At 39.2% G+C, this 20,253-nt stretch overlaps 1 long non-coding RNA gene across 1 annotated transcript, besides 1 other annotated feature; it reads left to right on the top strand.

The window, feature by feature from the left end:
- Nucleotides 1,192-1,692: an enhancer, noted in NCBI's record as "H3K4me1 hESC enhancer chr9:40713401-40713901 (GRCh37/hg19 assembly coordinates)". NCBI's record gives its function as "activates a minimal SCP1, AML or CMV promoter by ChIP-STARR-seq in naive H9 embryonic stem cells {active_cell/tissue: H9 hESC(naive)}" and the evidence as "EXISTENCE:reporter gene assay evidence [ECO:0000049][PMID:30033119]".
- FAM74A3 (family with sequence similarity 74 member A3) lies at nucleotides 3,315-10,470 on the top strand. The gene is made up of 2 exons (NR_026801.1): nucleotides 3,315-4,102; nucleotides 9,376-10,470. It is a non-coding gene; the product is annotated as a family with sequence similarity 74 member A3 (long non-coding RNA).
- Nucleotides 10,471-20,253: the final 9,783 nt, after the last annotated feature.

The following is a 20,253-nucleotide window of genomic DNA, read 5'->3' as shown; positions in this document are numbered from 1 at the left end:
GTTGACTGTTTTAACAGAGTTAAAATAAGTGATTATACTTCAGTCATTTGATTTAAATTTGCTCAGAGTGGCCAGAAAATCTAGAAACATAGAAAATGTCCATACTAAATAGTTGATTGCTATGACACGTTGAATGTGCTGTTCCTCAATAGTAATTCATAGTTCAGTAATCTACGCAAAATTGCAATGAACAATGTGCATTAAAGCAACATTTCCATCAATCAGTGTATATTCATCTGCCATATATTGCCTCAGATGATTTGAGTGTCTAATTTCACAGAATAAATTTGAGCCTTTACCCCAGAAGAAATAATCAACGGGGCTCAATCTATTAAAAAGATATTGACAATATTTCCAGGCTCTATTAACATCTATAATTTATTTTTAATTAGATTCACCTAATTCAAAGCTTGTAAATATTTTTACCATTTATATGTGCCCAGATGAAATGGATATCAATAATTAGATAATGGAGAAAACAACAAACACAGATCTTCTTTGTTGTTAAAATATTTTACGTCAGAGCACTTTGCTAGAAATAAAGTAATTTTTAATCTCCAGGCAAAAGACTGTCTAAATGACATTCAGAATGTATTACAAATTTAGATTTAGAATAGATTTATGTTTAAAACAGGCCTCATACTGCTTTCAACAAATCGGGCACTACAGAACAGAATGTGGGGAGGGTGACAATGATGTGATGACTTCTTAACACTGAGCAAAGAAGCAAAAAACAAGTTGTCTTTCTACAATGTTGATCCCTAAGAGTGATTTCCCTTTATAGATTGCAATATAATTCCAGTTGCATTGTTATTATTTTACAAAGAACTCCCACAGAAAAAACTTTCTGGAGGTTTTCCCCTATATACACACCTACATTCTCTGCCATGCTCACACCGTTGGCAAAGTATGGTGCATCCAGCCACAGACCATCAAGGGGCTTGATAATTGCCTCCTCCATATACCTTCTGAGGTCGGTCAGGTTTATAACCATTCGTGTAACACAATTCATCCTTATAACTGGGCCTATGGCCTTGTGGCTTGTCACCTTTTCCAAGCAGGTGCTTGTCATCTTGGTTGCTCAGAGGTTTGCTGTGGCATCTTCCCTCACCTGCGGCCGGGCTGGCCTCCACCATGTTGCAACCAGAAGAGCCCACTTCCGTGGGGACAGAGCTTCCGTGCTCTCCACAGCCACGTCACGCTGCCGCTGTGCAAATGATGCCAACTGTAAATCCCAGAAAACTGCAAAATAATGCTGCGCCAGGCACAGTCGGTGAGGATTTAGAGGATGCTAACGTCTTTCCTAAGAAACGTGGGTGACATCGGCCAGGCACGGTGGCTCACGCCTGTAATCTCAGCACCTTGGGAGGTCGAGGCGGGCAGATCACAAGATCAGGGGATCGAGACCATCCTGGCTAACACGGTGAAACCCCCTCTCTACTAAAAATACAAAAAAATTTGCCGGACATGGTGGGGGAGCCTGTGGTCCCAGCTACTCGGGAGCCTGAGGCAGGAGAATGACGTGACCCCAGGAGGCGGAGCTTGCAGTGAGCCGAGATCGCGCCACTGCACTCCAGCCTGGGAGACAGAGCGAGACTGTAAGACTCTGTCTCAAAAAAAAAGAAGAAAAAGAAAGAAAGAAAGAAAGAAAAGTGGGTGACATCACTCTGGTTCTAATCATTTTCGTGCTTCAGCTGCCCCCACTGGATCAGTGTTTCTGGTGAAAAGCAATCAGTTTTCGGAGGGCCTCACCCTCCTTCACTGTAATGATGTTTGCAGTTCTTTCTTTCTCCTCTATGCCGAAAATCCGGAATTACCACCCCCTGTTCCCCATGGTTCACAATCTCAACCACGTTTCTCCAGTGACCACTTCAATTCACACAGCCATCCCTCAGTTCAACTATTGCCTTTGAACATCATGAGCAAGACCACGGCTCTTTGTATTTCTGCCACAGTTTCACACCAGTTACAGATTATATACATTCTTCACGTCAATAAGTTTATTTTGTAGAGTGTGGTTTCTGGAGTCAGATGAACTCTCCACCTACTAGGTCTGTTACTTGGGCAAGTCATTTCTTGCCTAGATTTACCAATTTGTTAGAGTTATATTACTTTACTCCAAAAGATTTTATTCTGTGAATTACATTGCTTTTCTTATTTTTTAAAAATTGTAAATCTAGGGATTTAGGCTTGGTTGTTTTTTTAAATATCAGTACTTATCTAAACAAGTATTTGAAAATTTTTCTTTTTTCTTTACGTATATTAGAAATCTGGCCAGGCACGGTGGCTCATGCCTGTAATCCCAGCACTTTGGGAGGCCAAGGTGGGCGGATCACCTGAGGTCAGCAGTTTGAGACCAGCCTGGCCAACATGGCAAAACCCCGTCTCTACTAAAAATACAAAAAAATTAGCCGGGCGTGATGGCAGGCACCTGTGATCCCAGCAACTTGGGAGGCTGAGGCAGGAGAATCACTTGAACTGAGGAGGCAGAGGTTGCAGTGAGCTGAGATTGTGCCACTGCACTCCCGCCTGGGCAAGAGTGAGACCCCATCTCAAAAATAAAAAAAAAAGAAAGAAATCTGTTAACAGCCTTGCTATGAAGACATTTTTGTCTGTTTCTTTTACTTTGTGTACTTATTTAATATTAAAACCTGTATTATTGCTCAGCAAAGAGGAGAATTGTTTCCTTGGAGGAAAAAAAACATCCTTAAGAACTTACTAGTTTAAAGCTGAGCATCTTAGATTTGAAGGTTGCCTTACCTTTTTAAAGATTTTTTTTATGAGTTGATAGAAAGTCCTAAAATCTTAGGAACAGAAACAATTGAGAATTACAAGTCAAATCATTGAAATGGAGCCATCTGACAGTTTATGTGTTCTGCTGTGCCAGTAGTGAGTGGGAACAGTTTCTATGTGGGAATATAATCAGGGTCCTGACTACCCCTAAAGGAGCTCTTTCTTGTTTGGTGTGAAGCCAATACACCAAACCAAGAGTGAGTATCAAACAGTGTGGGCTTTTTTCAATGGCCATGGAATTGCAGAAGTGGGAGCATAGCCTGCAAATCAACTTCTCAGAGCCTGAGAACTGAGGATTCTTAATGAAGGGGCTGGTATACAGAGGAAAGGGAGAAATATTCATAGCTTTTCTTGGGAAGGGAGGTAGGTTTTTTTGGAATCAAAGAGCCACCTCTTTTCTGCCTGTTTTTGGTCTCTTCTGGCCATTGTCATGGTGATTGTCAACTGTCAAGGTGCCAGTGGGAGTGTCGTTTAGCATGGAAATTGGATCATAATGAAGCTAGAGGTTTTTCAGAGGTCAAGCTGCCATTGCGGATTTTGCCAGCTTCAGCCAGTTTAGTCCTAAGAAGGAACTTCTGACCCCAGACATCCTGTTTTCTAAAACTAAGCAGTTAAAGCTGAATGGGAATTTAGCTCTGTCACATAGGCATTGGTTGGGCAACAAAAGCAGGGTAGGGCTCCAGCTAAGCCACGTAGGCACTACGATGGGCAACAGAAAGGTTGGTTTCTGGGCAATTCAGAGAAACCAAGGACAGCTACCCCCAGAACTCAGAGTAGCCAACTGGGCTGCTCACAGGAGATGCCTTAACTGAAAGGTGATCAGACTCCACAGGAGACCCAGAGAAGATGTGGAGGGAGCTCAGAGGTTGTCCTGGAGGAGACGTGGAGACAGCTCAGAGGCTGTCCCGGAGAAGACGTGGAAAGAGCTCAGAGGCTGTCCCAGAGAAGACGTGGAGAGCTCAGAGGATGTCCCAAACAAGAGAGAGCTCAGAGGCTGTCCCAGAGAAGACGTGGAGAGAGTTCAGAGGCTGTCCCGGAGAAGACGTGGAAAGAGCTCAGAAACTCAGAGACTGTCCCGGAGAAGACATGGAAACAGCTCAGACGCTGTCTGCAAGAAGACGTGCAGAGAGTTCAGAGGCTGTCCCGGAGAAGACATGGAGAGAGCTCAAAGGCTGTCCACAAGAAGATGTGGAGAGAGTTCAGAGGCTGTCGTTACTGCTGCACTTGGCTGTTTTTCTTTGGATAATTATTGCCATCAATTTTAGTAATTCAGGTGTTAAATCACAGTCAAGCACCTATTTACCTAGTGGTGAGTTCCTTTATGTTGTGAGTTCAATGTCATTTGTGGGGACTGTGGTCCAGGGAGGTGTTGGGAGGATGAAGTTTTTTCTGAGTGACTTTGCAAACATAAAAAGTCACCTAATAAAGATGCTAGAAAAGCAAATATCCTAACTTCCTAGTCAGAAAAATGTCCAACACCATGTTTATTTAGGGGCAAAATTATGTATTCAGAAGAATTTTTCACAAAAAAACAGTGGTGGGAGAAAATTACACATCTGGGCCCAACAAGTAAGACTTTCCCTTCACAATTGTGCTGTGGGATCCCAGGCCTCGGGGGGCTACTGCCGTCACCATCCCCAGGCTGTGGGCCCCTTTGTCAGCTGCTCTTCTGAAGGCAGGTCTCCTGTCCATGCCTTCCCCTTTGTTGTCCGGATGGAGATTGGAGACGCAGCATCATATACAGCTGACAGGTGTTAACCTTATTAGCTAATTCTGTTTCACGGGACACGATTTATACACTCCATGGAAATGCTTCTCACTGCCTTTTTTTACCACTTCAAGGTAGAAGTAGGTAATAGTGCTAAAGTCATCTTACTAGAATAACAAAGTCCATGGTTTGTTGTCCCTAAAAATATTTGTATTAGTTTACTAGGGCTGCCATAACAAAATACCACAGACTGAGTGGCTTAAGTAACATAAATTTCTTTTTTTCTTTCTTTCTTTCTTTGTTTATTTATTATTATTATACTTTAAGTTTTAGGGTACATGTGCACAATGTGCAGGTTAGTTACATATGTATACCTGTGCCATGCTGGTGTGCTGCACCCACTAACTCGTCATCTAGCATTAGGTATATCTCCCAATGCTATCCCTCCCCCCTTCCCCCACCCCACAACAGTCCCCAGAGTGTGATGTTCCCCTTCCTATGTCCATGTGTTCTCACTGTTCGATTCCCACCTATGAGTGAGAATATGTGGTGTTTGGTTTTTTGTTCTTGCGATAGTTTACTGAGAATGATGATTTCCAATTTCATCCATGTCCCTACAAAGGACATGAACTCATCATTTTTAAGAAAATGTGGCACATATACACCATGGAATACTATGCAGCCATAAAAAATTTCTTTTCTCACAGTTTTGGAGGCTGGAAGTCCAAGATCAAGGAATCAGCACATTTGGTCTCTTCTGAGGCCTCTCTCCTTCCCTTGCCAATGGCCACCTTCTTACTGTGTCCTCACATGATTGTCCTGTGGTCTGTGTGTGGTCTCTGTCCACATCTCCTTGTCTTACAAGGAAATCAGTCTTACTGATTAGGGCCCACCCATATAACCTAATTTTACCTCAATTACCTCTTTATAGGTCCTCTTTCCAAATACAGCCCCATTCTGAGGTACTAGAGGTGAGGACTTCAACATAAATTTGAGGCAACACAATTCTGTCCATGACAATTGTCCACCTTAGTTTTATGGTGAACCAAGGCTGTGAAAAAGACTTGACTTGGGGCCGGGCATGGTGGCTCACGCCTGTAATCCCTACACTTTAGGAGGCCAAGGTGGGTGCATAACCCAAGGTCAGGAGTTCAAGACCAGCCTGGCCAACATGATGAAACCCCATCTCTACTAAAAATACAAAAAGAATGAGCTGGGCTTGGTGGCGGGTGCCTGTAATCCCAGCTACTCAGGTGGCTGAGACGGGAGAATTGCTTGAACCCGGGAAGCGAAGGTTGCAGTGAGCCGAGACTGCACCACTGCACTCAAGCCTGGACAACAAGAGCGAAATTCTGTCTAAAAAAAAAAAAAAAAAAAAAAAGACTTGACTGAAGGCAGTGACCTAAGAGTGAAGCGATAACAGCTGGCAACTGTTCCGCAAGAAGGTGCAAAGCCCCTGCAGGCCTGGGAAGGTGCAGAGCCTGCACCTCAGATTTGACTCCTCTCATAGAATCATGGAATTTAAGTGAACCTCTTCCAGTATTAGGGAATCTTGAATGGAAACTCTAATATCTTAATCCCCAGTGTAACAAACTTTTACTACATTGTTCTCATGATGACAAATGTCTCATCAGAAAATGGCTTAAAAGTATAATTATTATGAAAGCAGACTGGCTTATTTAAAACAAACATAATCTGAAAACTGTAATCCAAAAAGTAGACATCCATATATATATATATATATATATATATATATATATATATATATATATTCATTCATTCTCTTTGCTTTGAAACTTTCACTGAATGACCTTTGTCCGTTTTATCAGTCACCATATTTTAGTGGTGCTGTGCAGTGACTTTTGTAGAGTAATATCTCTCAAAGTGTGCAGTGATCAATATTGTGTTGTCAAAAGATTCTGTAGTCAAAGAAGTTTGGAAAACTTTAATTTTTTGATTAAGCAAAGCAAGAAGTCTGAGTTTCATTTATTGGTTTACTATGAAAAGTGTTAGAGGCTTTATGATGTGCAAGAAGGACATGTGTCATAATATTTCTCAAACCTATTTGACTTCCAATACTTGCTTTTTTGTTTTTTCTTCTTTTGTGGAGAAATTTCAAAAACTTTGGAAAATACTTTTTAAGTGAGATTCAGGAGTTTGATAAGCAAGATGACAAATACTAAAAATATACACTCCAAATATAGACACAATGAATACTAAATAAACTCACTGTTTTTAGTCAACATTATTCAAGGATATCCAAAGTTTTTCATGGCATAAAATGCTCTTTTTCTTTTCAGTAATATGATACATGTGATATTCCTGGAAACTTAAAAAAAAATCATCATTTATGTGCTCTCTTGTCAGTTTCATGCTGTATTTTTGATGTAGAAGAAAGAATTTGGTATCTTCTCAGGAATACATTGTCACATAAAAATATGTAAACTCCTTCAGATAAATTCTCACCTGCAGAATGAGTCAAACAGCAGGGGGAGAAGCTGAATCTAGTGTTCGCAGTGAGTGACCTGTCTTCCTCAACACTGTCATCTCATCTATTGTCTTGGATGCTCAAGAAACGGAACTATATAAATGTGGCTTCTGGCCTTCATATATTACAGTGCCAAAGCTTCAAAGAACCAGTTTTTATTTAATACTTACTTTGTTTCTTTGCATTTTTTTTCAAAAATACAATATGTTGTTATTAACTATAGTGACCATGTTGTGCAGTAGATCTCTTCTTGAATATTTCCCCTCTCCTAAATGAAATTTTGAATCCTTTGATAAACATCCCCACTCCCCACCCCAAGTCCAGCCCCTGGTAACCACCAGTCTACTCTCTACTTCTATGAGTTTAGCTTTTTCAGATTCGACATAAAAGTGAAATCATATGGTCTTTCTGTGCCTGGCTTGTTTCATTTAACATAATGTCCTCCAGGTTCATCCATGTTGTCACAAATAACAAGATTTCATTATTTTTTATGGCTGAATAGTATTTCATTGTGTATATATACTACTTTTTAAAATTCATCCATCCATTGATGGACACTTACATTGTTTCCACATCTTGGGCTAATATATAAATAAGATTTAATGTATATGGTGTTGCAGATATCTCTTCGACATACGGATTTCATTTCCTTTGGATATATACCCAGTAGTGGGATTGCTGGTTCATATGGTAGTTCATTTTTAATTTTTGAAGGAACCTCCATGCTATTTTCCATGATGCCTTTCCTTCAAATCTTCTCCAACACTTGTTATATTTTGTCATTTTATAATAACCATCCTAACACGTATGGGGTGATATCTCAAAGTGTTTTTAATTTGCCTTTCTCTAATGATTAGTAATATTGAGCATTTTTTATATGCCTGTTGGCCTGTATGTCTTCTTTTGAAAAATGTCTATTTGGATCATTTGTCCATTTCTTATTGAGTTATTTTTGGTTGTCTCTTCACTCTGCTAGCACCTATTTTGTATAAGACAATAATGCTCTTACATTTTCAAAATATACAGAAGATAAAAAACATATAGTAAGTATGATACTTGAATTGTAGTGAGACGTTTAAAATTTTCCAGGAAACAATTACTGTGTTTTATGGTTATAAGGAAGAAACATGTACATCATTTTGGGGAAGAAAAAGAGAAATTATGGAGTGATAAGTTTAAATTGAGAAAATATCAACAAATACAATATACGAGAGAGGCTCTAGGCATTTCATTTACAAAAATATTGTCCAGTTTTTGTATGTGTGATGTGTGCTTGTTCCCTCTTTCCATATCTATCTCTGTCTGTCTTTCTGCTATGGTTTGAATGTATCCTCCAAAAGTTCATAGATTGGAAACTTAATCCCTCTTCTCTCATGAATAGATTTATGTCAGTCCTGCCCTCATGAATGGATTAATGTCACTAGCATAGTAGTGGGTTCCTTATCATAAGCCCTTTTGCTCTTGCTCTCTCACTATGTGATGCCCCCTGCCATGTTGTTAGGCAGCAAGAAGGCCTTCTCCAGAGGCCAGCATCATGCTCTTGGCATTCCTAGGCCTCAGAGCTAAATACATTTATTTTCTTTATAAATCACTCAGTCTGTGGTATTCTGTTATAGCAACAAAAATATTAAGACACTCTTCCTATTTCCCCTACTCTCCTTCCTCCAGCCTCTTTCTTACACACAAAATGTTACTGAAATACCAGGAGTTCAATCTAGGTTCTGTTACTTGCACACAGAAAGCCAATCACTTAGACAATGAATATTGCCAAGGAAGAAGGCTTTAATTGCATGCTACAGCTAAGGATATGGGATATCAGTCTCAATTCCATCTCCTCAACCAGCCGAAATTAGGGGATTATATAGCAAGGAAGAAATGTAACTATGAGCAGGAAAACAGGAACTAGGGAGGGCTAAGGAAGCAATCATGACAAATAAGGAATCTGGCATCTGGCATCTCATTGTCTCGACACAGTGGTCTGATGAATTTCACTTCTTTGATACTTTTTGAGAGAGCTGAGAGTCCATTTCCTGAGGAAGAAACTCAGAGAAAACAAATGTAAGTTTCAAGCTTCAAGACCAGAAGGATTTGTTTCTATGTTTATATTTTTAAAATCTGTCTGTGGATCTATTGGGTGCATTTCAAAAACACATACAGAGGAAATCCCAGGCGCTGTGCTAGAATTGGGAATACAATGGTGAGTTCAAAGAGGAATAATTTTCCTATTCTCATGAAGCTAATAGTATAGGATAGAGAAAGCAAACACTAATCAAAGAACCACACAAGCATAAGATTGCAACTACAACTAAAAACCATAACCATTCAGTTAAGCTAAGGAGGCCACCATTGTCACCCTTCTCTTAACCTTTAATAATGTATTTTACAGGTAAAATCCTTAAGTAAGTCATATTTGGTTGGGAAGATCAAAGAAATCACCCAGTCTCCCACATCCGAAATTGTGCAGTCTGGACTGTCAGGAACAAAAGTGAAAGAGAGACGTCATCAAGGCCGGGCGCGGTGGCTCATGCCTGTAATCCCAGCACTTTGGAAGGCCAAGGAGGGCGGATCATGAGGTCAGGAGTTCAAGACCAGCCTGGCCAATATGGTGAAACCCTGTCTCTACTAAAAATACAAAAATTAGCCAGGCGTGGTGGCAGGCGCCTGTAATCCCAGCTACTTGGGAGGCTGAGGCAGAAGAATCACTTGAACCTGAGAGGCAGAGGTTGCAATAAGCCAAGATTGTGCCATTGCACTCCAGCCTGGGAGACAAAGCGAGACTCCATCTCAAAAAAAAAAAAAAAAAAAGAATGACTAAAATTAAGAAGATTGATGATTCCAAATATTAGTAAAGATGTAGAACAACTAGAACTCCCACATATTGCTGATGAAAATGAAGAATAATACATTACTTTGGAAAATACTTTGGTACTGATTTACCATATGACCCCAAAATCTCACTTGTAGAAATTTATACAGGAAAAATGAAAACATATGCTCACAGAAAGCTTGTATACACATGCTTATGGCAATAAATTTATTTATAGTTGCCTACCAACAAGTGATGAACAAATATATTTTAGTATCTTGATACTACTTTCTAGCTAGAAAAGGAATACTACTAAGCAAAAATAGAGGATGAAGTAGTAATATACATAACATAGATGAATTTAAAAACACCATGCTGATTGAAAGAAAACAATTATCAAATACACAGTGTAATATTCTATTCACAGAAAGTTTGAAAACAAAAAACTATAGTCTCTGAAAGAAAACCATTGGTTGCAGGAAGGTGGGGATTCATTGGCCACAAAAGGGACTGAGGAAACTTTTTATGGGTAATGGAAATATTTTATATCTTGATTGTGGCACCAATTATACAACTGTATGTACACATCTGTCAAAATTCTAATTGTATTATACACAACATGAGTGACTTTAACTGTCTATAAATTATATCTCAATAAAATTGGTCTTAAAAGATATATATATATACACACACATAATTTAATATGTATTTTATATATATATCTCTCTCTCTCTCGACAATGGAGTGAAATGTACTCTTTTTTTTTTTTTTGAGACGGAGTCTCGCTCTGTTGCCCAGGCTGGAGTGCAGTGGCGTGATCTCAGCTCACTGCAAGCTCCCAGGTTCACGCCATTCTCCTGCCTCAGCCTCCTGAGTAGCTGGGACTACAGGCGCCCACCATCACGCCCAGCTAATTTTGTTTTTGTATTTTTAGTAGAGATGGGGTTTCACCATGTTAGCCAGGATGGTCTTGATCTCCTGACCTCGTGATCGCCTGCCTCAGCTTCCCAAAGTGCTGGGATTACAGGTGTGAGCCACCACTCCCGGCCTGTGAAGTGTATTCTTATGGTTTAATTGTCACTTAGCAAACATCCAGAATGCTAAATATCCATATTATTTCTCTTGTTTTGCCTTTCTCTCACTTTTTCTACAAGCACCATTTTGAAGAAAGCCTCATCAACTTTATTAATTATATTTGTGATCATTTGAAGACACAGAAAATTTTCTTCTGCAAAATATAAAGTCTTCTTTCATCTGCTCTCGTGATCCTTTTATTCTTCTGCCAAGTGATGTACATTAATTGATCAACTGAGTTATGCATGCATTTACTTTTTCACAGATCTTTGTTATGCCTCTACTAGTTCTATGCTAGGGATATGGTATGACATTGAACAGGATCAATATGGTCCCTGCTTTCACAGAGCCCACACCTAATGTGTGGATAGTCAGAACACAGTTACACAAACACAAGTGGGAAATAATTATAACATCTGATAGATCTGAAGTCAGTAGAAAAGGTATTGAAATGGAGAAATAGAAAGGGGCCTCGCTTTGATAATGAAATCAGAGACAGTTTCCCTGCAACTTCCTTGGAGGGCAAAAGCCATGTCCTTTCCTTCTCCTACCCCACCACTGACCCCAATAAAATACCGAGCACAGAATTTTCACTCAATAAATTACCTTAAAATGGATTTCAAAATATTTATAAAGCACATTTGTGTCCATTAAAGTATGAAAGGACATGTATTTGGAGCATAAAACCCAGCACATGATGGAAACATCACATAAATGAGGATCAAGAATCTAATTATGTAATGGGAAAATTTAAAAGAAATGTCAAGCTGGATAGAGTGTATTCTAAGAAAATGAATACATGTATAATAGCTAAATATTTGGCATTTGAGTTTGGGATGAAAAAATAGATGTAAAAGAAACAGTTTCCTTAATTAAGAATTTAATTTTGTGGGGCCGGGTGCGGTGGCTCACACCTGTAATCCCAGCACTTTGGGAGGCCAAGGCGGGCACATCACGAAGTCAGGAGATTGAGACCATCCTGGCTAACATGGCGAAACCCCGTCTCTACTAAAAAATACTAAAAATTAGCCAGGCGTGGTGGTGGGCACCTGTAGTCCCAGCTACTTGGGAGGCTGAGGCAGGAGAATGGTGTGAACCTGGGAGGCAGAGCTTGCAGTGAGCCGAGATCACACCACTACACTCCAGTCTGGGTGACAGAGCAAGACTCCGTCTCAAAAAAAAAAAAAAAAAATTAATTTTGTCCTTTGGAAGGAGAGAAAGAAAAGGCAGTTCACCTAGACCATCACTTGCCTTTTTTAGTTGCAGCAAATGCCAGTTTTTAACCGGATATGTTTGCAATGTGTGAGTTCTTCTCCAAGTGCTAGCTAGGATGAGCTTCCATACACCGCACCCCCAGCTGTGGTAATGCTTTACTCATAGCCTGTCTCTCATCCATCTGCCTGAATTCCTGCAGAACACAGTTGGACCAGCAGCTCATATTTAATCCTCTCATATGATATTAACACCACTGGTCTCCATTTTTGATTTACATCTTAAAGCCTCCAGGCTGTAATTGTTTTACCACTGTATTTCATTATTTAACATCCACTACTTTTATGGAAAAAAATGTGTTTACTCCTGTATCTCATCTTAATGTTTCACTAACTGCTAAACTCACATTTTTTGTTCATTTGCATTGTTTCGAGAATCTAGATTGTATTTGTGTTTGGAAACAGTCACAGCCACTTCCAGAGGTCATTTCCCATAGACCCCAAACTTCTCTTCTCCCAGCCTTGGAGGTGCTGGGTTCTAGAAGGAGGAGGCAGTGAGTCCAGAAGCCCAGCCATATCAGGATGACATCTACCATGCATCAGTCCTCGTGTGTCTTCAGCGCCTCTTTCACATGTCTGTGTCCTTAGAGCTTGCTGGAACCATCTTTGCTTGTCTCTGTGTATTCTGAGTCTGTGACTATTTGGCTCTAGGAGTCTTCTCAACAAAGTACAATTTCTGTTGTCTTTTTCCAAAAAACTTTATGAATAAAATGAAAATATGAGTAATATAAAATCAAAATATATTTTGATTTCTCATTTCAAAATTATCTACCTCTGTAGTTTAATAGAACTCAATTATTGGCCCCAGAAGATAATTTTTTTCCCTAAAGTATTTTCTAAATAATAACCAGTAGTTGACCTACGTCCTTTATATATATCACATAGAAGATCTCCACAGTACATTCTTCAAATTCAGCTCAGATAATCCATGGAATGCTCAAGTTCCCTGTAACAAATTGAGCTCCTATATCTCTGTGGACTTATAATTGACTAATAAAAGTAAGACTTGTTTGCTAATGATAAAGATAATTTGTAAAAAATAAATCATTTTAGTTTGACCATGAGACGCACACATCCATTATCATTAAATGTGAAAATCTAGAATATATCCAGTTAATGGTCAGGTATCAACTTTATGTCCCACACTTGCCATGTAGAAGCTAAGCTTTTAAAATGTAGAATTATTTTCTACTTTTCTGTTATATGCATATATTATAAATGACAAGTATTTTAAACACTGGATTTTTTTAAAAATTGCTTTATTTTCTTCTGTTTTGACAAAAGTTGGCTTTCAAGTTTAATTAAGTTAAAAAAAAACGAACAACAAAAGTGTATTCCAATGGGAGACAGATAAAGCATCTTTCTTATCTAAAATACAGGACCAGGCGCAGTGGCTCATGCCTGAAATCCCAGTACTTTGGGAGGCCGAGGCAGGTGAATCACCTGAGGTCAGGAGTTCGAGACCAGCCTGACCAACATGTCTCTACTAAAAATACAAAATTAGCCGGATGTGTTGGTCCATGCCTATAATCCCAGCTACTCAGGAAGCTGAGGCAGGAGAATCACTTGAACCCAGGAGGCGGAGGTTGCAGTGAGCCAAGATCATACCATTGCACTCCAGCCTGGGCAACAAGACTGAAACTCTGTCTTAAAATAATAATAAAATAAAATATATATTTATATATGGTATATGAATTTGATACATTTTGCTTTATTTCAGGACTAATGTAATGCTACAGAAAAGGAATGACTCTAAACTCACTTAATTTCTCCTGACTATAAATAGCCCTTGACCACTTTCAACTTTCCCACTGATAACTCTATAACATAGGGCAAGTTACTTGACCTCACTGAGCCTATTTTGCCATCTATAAATCAGCTAATAGGACCTAACTTATAGGTTTGCTGAGAGGTATAAGTAAGACAATAGAGTCTAGCATATGGTGGGGCTCAACAAATATTAGTACATTACTTACACTTTTTTTTTCACCCTGCTATGCCTTTCAGTTTATTTCTACTAAACTCTAAGTTATTAAAATACAGGCTGAAGTATTATTAATTTCCCTCTGTGTTCTCCCCAGTTCCTATCACAGTGCCAGGGACACACAGGCCCCATAATCCTTCATGGTCAATTGAACTGACAGTGAACTATGTCTTCGTCCATTTGGGATGCTACAACAAAATACCATAGACCGGGTGACTTATAAACCACAGAAATGTGTTTCTTATCGTTCTGGAGGCTGGGAAGTCCAAGATCACGGCATTGGCAGATTCAGTGTCTGGTGAAGGCCTGCTTTGTGGTTCATAGATGGGTGCTTTCTTGCTGTGTCCTCATGTGGTGATAGGGGCAAGCCAGTGCTCCTAGTCTCTTTGATAAGAGCACTAATCCCATTTCCGAGGGCCCATCATGACTGAATCACTTCTCAGCAATCCTCCCTTCTAATCTCATCACTTTGGGGGCTAGGATTTCAACATATGAATTTGTGTGGGGGGCACAAACATTGAATCCATTGCAATGAACATCAAAGGATGGTACAGTGGTTAGTGTTTGTGTATCATGGCCTACCTAATAATTTTATGTCTTTGTTGCTGAAAATAAAACAAATAAAAGCTTTCATTTACATGCTTTTTTAGCACACCTTTTCTGGAAAAAATTCTCTACTTTAGTGCTGGTTTGTGTGGCTCATAATATGTCTATGGCCATTAAAATCCAATAGAACTCCAGAGCGAGGAAGCACATTGCTGTCTTTCTCTATGGTGTTTTCCAGGCAGGGTCAGATTGCCAGGATATCATCAGACATTTTTTGGTAGACAGTGAGGGGAGGGGGTGGAGAGGGTGCAGTTTATTATACGTAAATTATACCTCAATAAAGCTGGTACTTCTTTTAAAATTTGCCATAATTCTTTATATTATAAAGATATAAAGAAATTTTTGCACTGTCTCTCAAGTTTGTCCAGAGGATAAAATCAGAGGCATATAACAATATAAAATAGTATTCAAAGATCAAATATTTATCCAAACTTTAATACTAGAGAAAGATGGGCAGGTATAAGCATGAGCAATGGGAAAATGAGAAAGAGCAGGAGAAGGAAATGTTACTGAAGCAAAGTCAGAGATTGCCTGCTTAAAAAAGTTTTAAAAGCTAATTTACGGAGATGGCTTCTTTCCTTAAACCTCACGAACCAACCTCTACTACCTTCCAACTTTTCTTCTTCAGCTTCCTCACCTCTCTCAGCCTTCATAGAACTGAAGAGAGTTAGGGCCTTCCTCTGGATTAGGCTTTGGTTTAAGGGAATGTTGTGGCTGGTTTGATTTTCTGTCCAGAGCACTCAAACTTTCTCCATATCAGCAATAAGGCCGTTTCACTTTCTCATCACTTGTGTGTTTACTGGAGTAGCACTTTTAATTTCCTCCAGGAACATTCTCTTTGCATGCACAGCTTGGCCAACTGTTTGGTGAAAGAGGCCTAGCTCCCCATCTATCTTGGTTTCCAGGATGCCTTCCTCACTCAGCTCAATCATTTCTAGCTTTTGACTTAAAGTGAGAAATACGTGATTCGTCCTTTCATTTGAACACTTAGAGGCGATTGTAGGATTATTAATTGGCCTAATTTCAATACTGTTCTGTTTCAGGGAATACAGAGGCCTGAAGAGAGGAAAAAAGAGATGGGGGATGGTCGGTGGAGCAGTCAGAATACACACATTTACTGGCAAGTTTGTCATCTTATGTTGGCACAGTTGTGGCACCCCAAAACAATTACAATAGTAACATCAAAGATTACTGATCACAGATCACATAACAGACATAATAATACAAATTTAAAATATTGCAAGAGTTACCAGATGTGATACAGTGACACAAAGTGAGCACATGCTATTGGAGAAAATGGTGCTGATAGACTTGCTCAATGCAGGGTTGCCACATGCCTTCAATTTATAAAAAATGCAGTATCTGAGAAGTGCAGTAAAGCAAAGCACAATAAAATCAGGTATGAGGCTGGGCATGGTGGCTCATGCCTGTAATCCCAACACTTTGGGAGGCTGAGGCGGGCAGATCACCTCAGGTCAGAAGTTCAACCAGCCTGACCAACATGAAGAAACCCAGTCTCTACTAAAAATACAAAATTAGCTGGGTGTGGTGATGCATGCCTGTAATCCCAGCTACTCGGGAGGCTGAGGCAGGAAAATCGCTTGAACCCAGGAGGGGGAGGTTGCGGTGAGCCCAGATCTTGCCATTGCACTCCAGCCTGGGCTACAAGAGCAAAACTCCATCTCAAAAAAAAAAAAAAAGAAACTAGAAAAGAAAATAAAACCAACAGTAAGCAGAAGAAAGGAAGTAAAAAGCATCAGTGTAGAAATCAATGCAATAGAACACAGGAAAAATCATTTACAGGAAATAAATGAAACCAAACTCTGTCTCTTTGAGAAGGTCCATAGTATTGATAAACTTCTATTCAGGCTTATCAGGAAAAAAAGAGAGAATACAAAAACAACCTATCAGGAATAAGAGAAGTAACATAACAACAGATTCAACAGATGCTAAAGAGATAATAAATGGTAATTATGAACAACATTGTGCCAACAGATTTGACAACTTAGATGAAGTGGACAAATGTCTCCAAAGACACAATTATCTAGTCTTACTCAAAAACAAACAGACAGAATAGCCCGGTATCTATTAAAGAAATTGAAGCTGTAATTTAAAACCTTTCCACAAAGACTCCAATGCTAGGTCTAAATGGCTTCAGTGAAGAATTCTACCAAACATTTAAGAAAAACATGATACCAATTCTGCTAGTTCTTACCAATTATTCTAATTAAAGAGAAAATTGAAAAAGGAAGGAATACTTCCGAATAACCTCTTGCACTTTTCTCAGACTTGTAAGTGTGACACTGGGATGACCAGTTCATGGGGAGAATTTTATATTCTTTACAGGTGAATTGGCTACAACCACAGGCAATTTCAATTTCTTTCCAAATTTCTTCAGGGGAATATCTGAGGAAAAATAAAGTGCTTTTGAAATATAAACACTTTCTAGGAATACAGGAATGTTGCTTATATATGATTTTACCAATGGTCTCATGAAAATTGTGTGGAGGACTGTGGCTATAAACACAATGGTTTGAATTTTATGTAAATTCATAGCTTTTTATTGTTATTTTTAAATACAGAAAAGTTCTGAAGATAGTAATTTTATTTGCCAGTTTTTTGGAAACTTTATATCTGAGGAAGATCTGCTGGAAGATGTCATTTGGGGTAATGCAAAATATTTCTGGAAGACACAAGTAAAATGGGCCCTCATTGACCAAGTAGTTTGTATAGATGTAGTGATTAAACTATTAAGTAGAGGGGAGGTTGCAAAAATATTTGACAAAATGAAATGTGTGCCTGCAGTGCAAAACCACTGATCCTGCTCACAAACAGGCATAGTGAGAAAGATTTCTATATGCCTGGTAGAACAACCTCTGTGGGCCATCTTAAGCACTGGTGATTAACACTTTTATGCATTCTATTACATCTGAATTTCACCACTTAACATGATACTTAAGCTGAATTAAAATGCCTTAATACTCTTGCCTTAATATTCTTCCAAGGTTTAGCACCTGGTCCTTTTAATAAAAAAAAAAAAAAGGTTATGGTTACCTTTTTTTGAAAAGGTACTCAAATATGTCAACTTTATTGTTTCTAGATATACACCCCTTTGTACTGAAAATTGTAAAAATAGCATGAAGTTTCCTCTTATTGCAATCCAAATTTTTGAAAGCCAGAAAATCTAATTATTATGCTCTAGACAACTTACCTAATGCATTGTTTATCCACAAGTAACTTTGCTTCAATTTCTTGATGTTGGGTTTCATCTCACTGACTTTGGGCTTCTAAATGGGAATATTTACGTCCTCTTCGCTTCTTTGGGTCAGATCAAACAGTAGAGCTAAAGTTATTCAAATACATTCAAACTACACAGACCCCTTATAAATTACTAGTATCATGGTAGGAAGGAAAATATATAAGAAGAAAAATACATCCTGGAACTCATTATCAAAATTATTGGTGTATAGTCTATACTAGCATAGAGTAGCTTTCTCAACCTGCTATGTAAAATTGCCAGCAAGAAAAAAAAGTGCAAGAATAAGGTCTATGACTGAAGTGGCTCGGTGTCATGATTCCCTACTCTAGCATTCTCAGAAGGATCCCATCCGTTAGACGTGCAGAAACTGCAGCCCATCCAAATGTGATCTGTTTAATCAATAATCAACAGTTCATATTGAAGACAGTATTTTTGCTATATGTGCTTGTCATAATGAAGGACGGTGTACAAAGAACAAGTTGAACCAGATGAACACTTTAATTTTGATGCCAAAATCAATCACTTTTTGTCATAACACCAGGCATAGATAATGGTTGATCCAGTGCACACTGTCTGTATTACCCCATAATTTCCTGCAGCAGACATGTTGTAATTTGACATACTCCTTGATCATTAACACATTGCAGTAGTCAGATATACTTGTCAAGATTAAGCTAAATGTCAGTAGAAGACTCAGTGAAGGCTTGAAAATCTTGCAGCTTGCTCTCAGAGACACTGCCAACTGAAATGATAAATGTCATTGGGCTGTGGTACTATTCTCATCGACGTATCAATAAATAAAGGGATGCTGGCGAAAAAATGTTCTTCCAGATACCTGCCCACTCTGAACCTAGAGTTCTTTTCATCACTGTGAAAGACAGCTCCCTACACACCGCAGCCATTTCCTGGGAGGACTCTGAGCTGTGATTTTAATAACAGAATGCACTCATCTGCCATTTTTCTTCCAGAATTGCTTGTGAATATCCTGCATGCTATCCAAGTCTCTTCACCCTTGTAGTCTTTGTATAAATGGGTTCATTTTGTTCCTTTTAATTTTTTTGAGACAGAGTCTCACTCTGTGGCCCAGGCTGGAGTGCATTGGCGCTATCTGGGCTCACTGCAACCTCCGCCTCCCAGGTTCAAGCTCTTCTCCTGCCTCAGCTTCCTGAGTAGCTGGGATTACAGGCGCGCACCAACACGCCTGGCTAATTTTTATATTTTCAGTAGAGACGGGGTTTTGCCGTGTTGGCCAGGCTGGTCTTGAGCTCCTGGCCTCAAGCGATCCACTCGCCTTGGCCTCCCAAAGTGCTGGGATTACAGGCTTGAGCCACTGCGCCCGGCCCCTTTGTTCTTATTTGTTGTTATTGCAGTGGGATTCTAGGAGGTGCTGGGAGTGGAGAAGTTAATCAACATATTTAGCTAGCTTGAATAGACATCCCAGTATTGATAGAGTTGCAATCTTAAAAAAAGAAAGAAAGAAAGGGAAAAAAAAGCCCAACAGTCATGGGATGAAAAAGTATTTGGGCGAGGATGAAAGAGTCAAACTCTCACTGTGCACGTGAAATCACAAGTATGGGCCTGGCGCAGTGGTTCACGCCTGTAATCCCAGCACTTTGGGAGGCGGGTGGATCGTGGGGTCAGGAGATCAAGACCACCTTGGCTAACACGGTGAAACCCCGTCTCTACTAAAAAAAAAAAATACAAAAAATTAGCCGGGCATGGTGACGGGCGACTGTAGTCCCAGCTACTCGGGAGACTGTGGCAGGAGAATGGCGTGAACCTGGGAGGCGGAGCTTGCAGTGAGCTGAGATGGCGCCACTGCACTCCAGCCTGGGCAACAAGGCAAGACTCCATTTCAGAAAAAAAAAAAAAAGAAAGAAAGAAAAAGAAATCACAAGTACGTACACACGCAACTGTCCTGGTACTAACACAACATTTTGGTTTCCTTATAATATTGAAATTTTATTGAATATTGAAATACATTTTATTGAAGTTGAGAGTTGTATCTTCTTTTACCATGACCGCCAACATGTATGTGCAATAAAAGCTATAAGAATATTTGCATTTGACCCCTAAAATAAGGAACTTGGATTTAATAATTTGGCAGTTGCTTTGTTTCATTTAAATTTGAATATTTTTCTGTTTTATTTTAATAGATTGTTCCTATTGCATTATTCAAAGGTGTTAAAAAAACTCTATGTGGTTGATTAGAGAACATTTATTATGTATATTTATTTGTGAATATTTATAATAATGAGTGTTTA

Source organism: Homo sapiens, chromosome 9 (genome assembly GCF_000001405.40).
Source record: "Homo sapiens chromosome 9, GRCh38.p14 Primary Assembly".
Classification (NCBI taxonomy): domain Eukaryota; kingdom Metazoa; phylum Chordata; class Mammalia; order Primates; family Hominidae; genus Homo; species Homo sapiens.
Note: the sequence above shows the minus strand (reverse complement) of the source record. Positions and strands in the feature narration are given on the sequence as shown.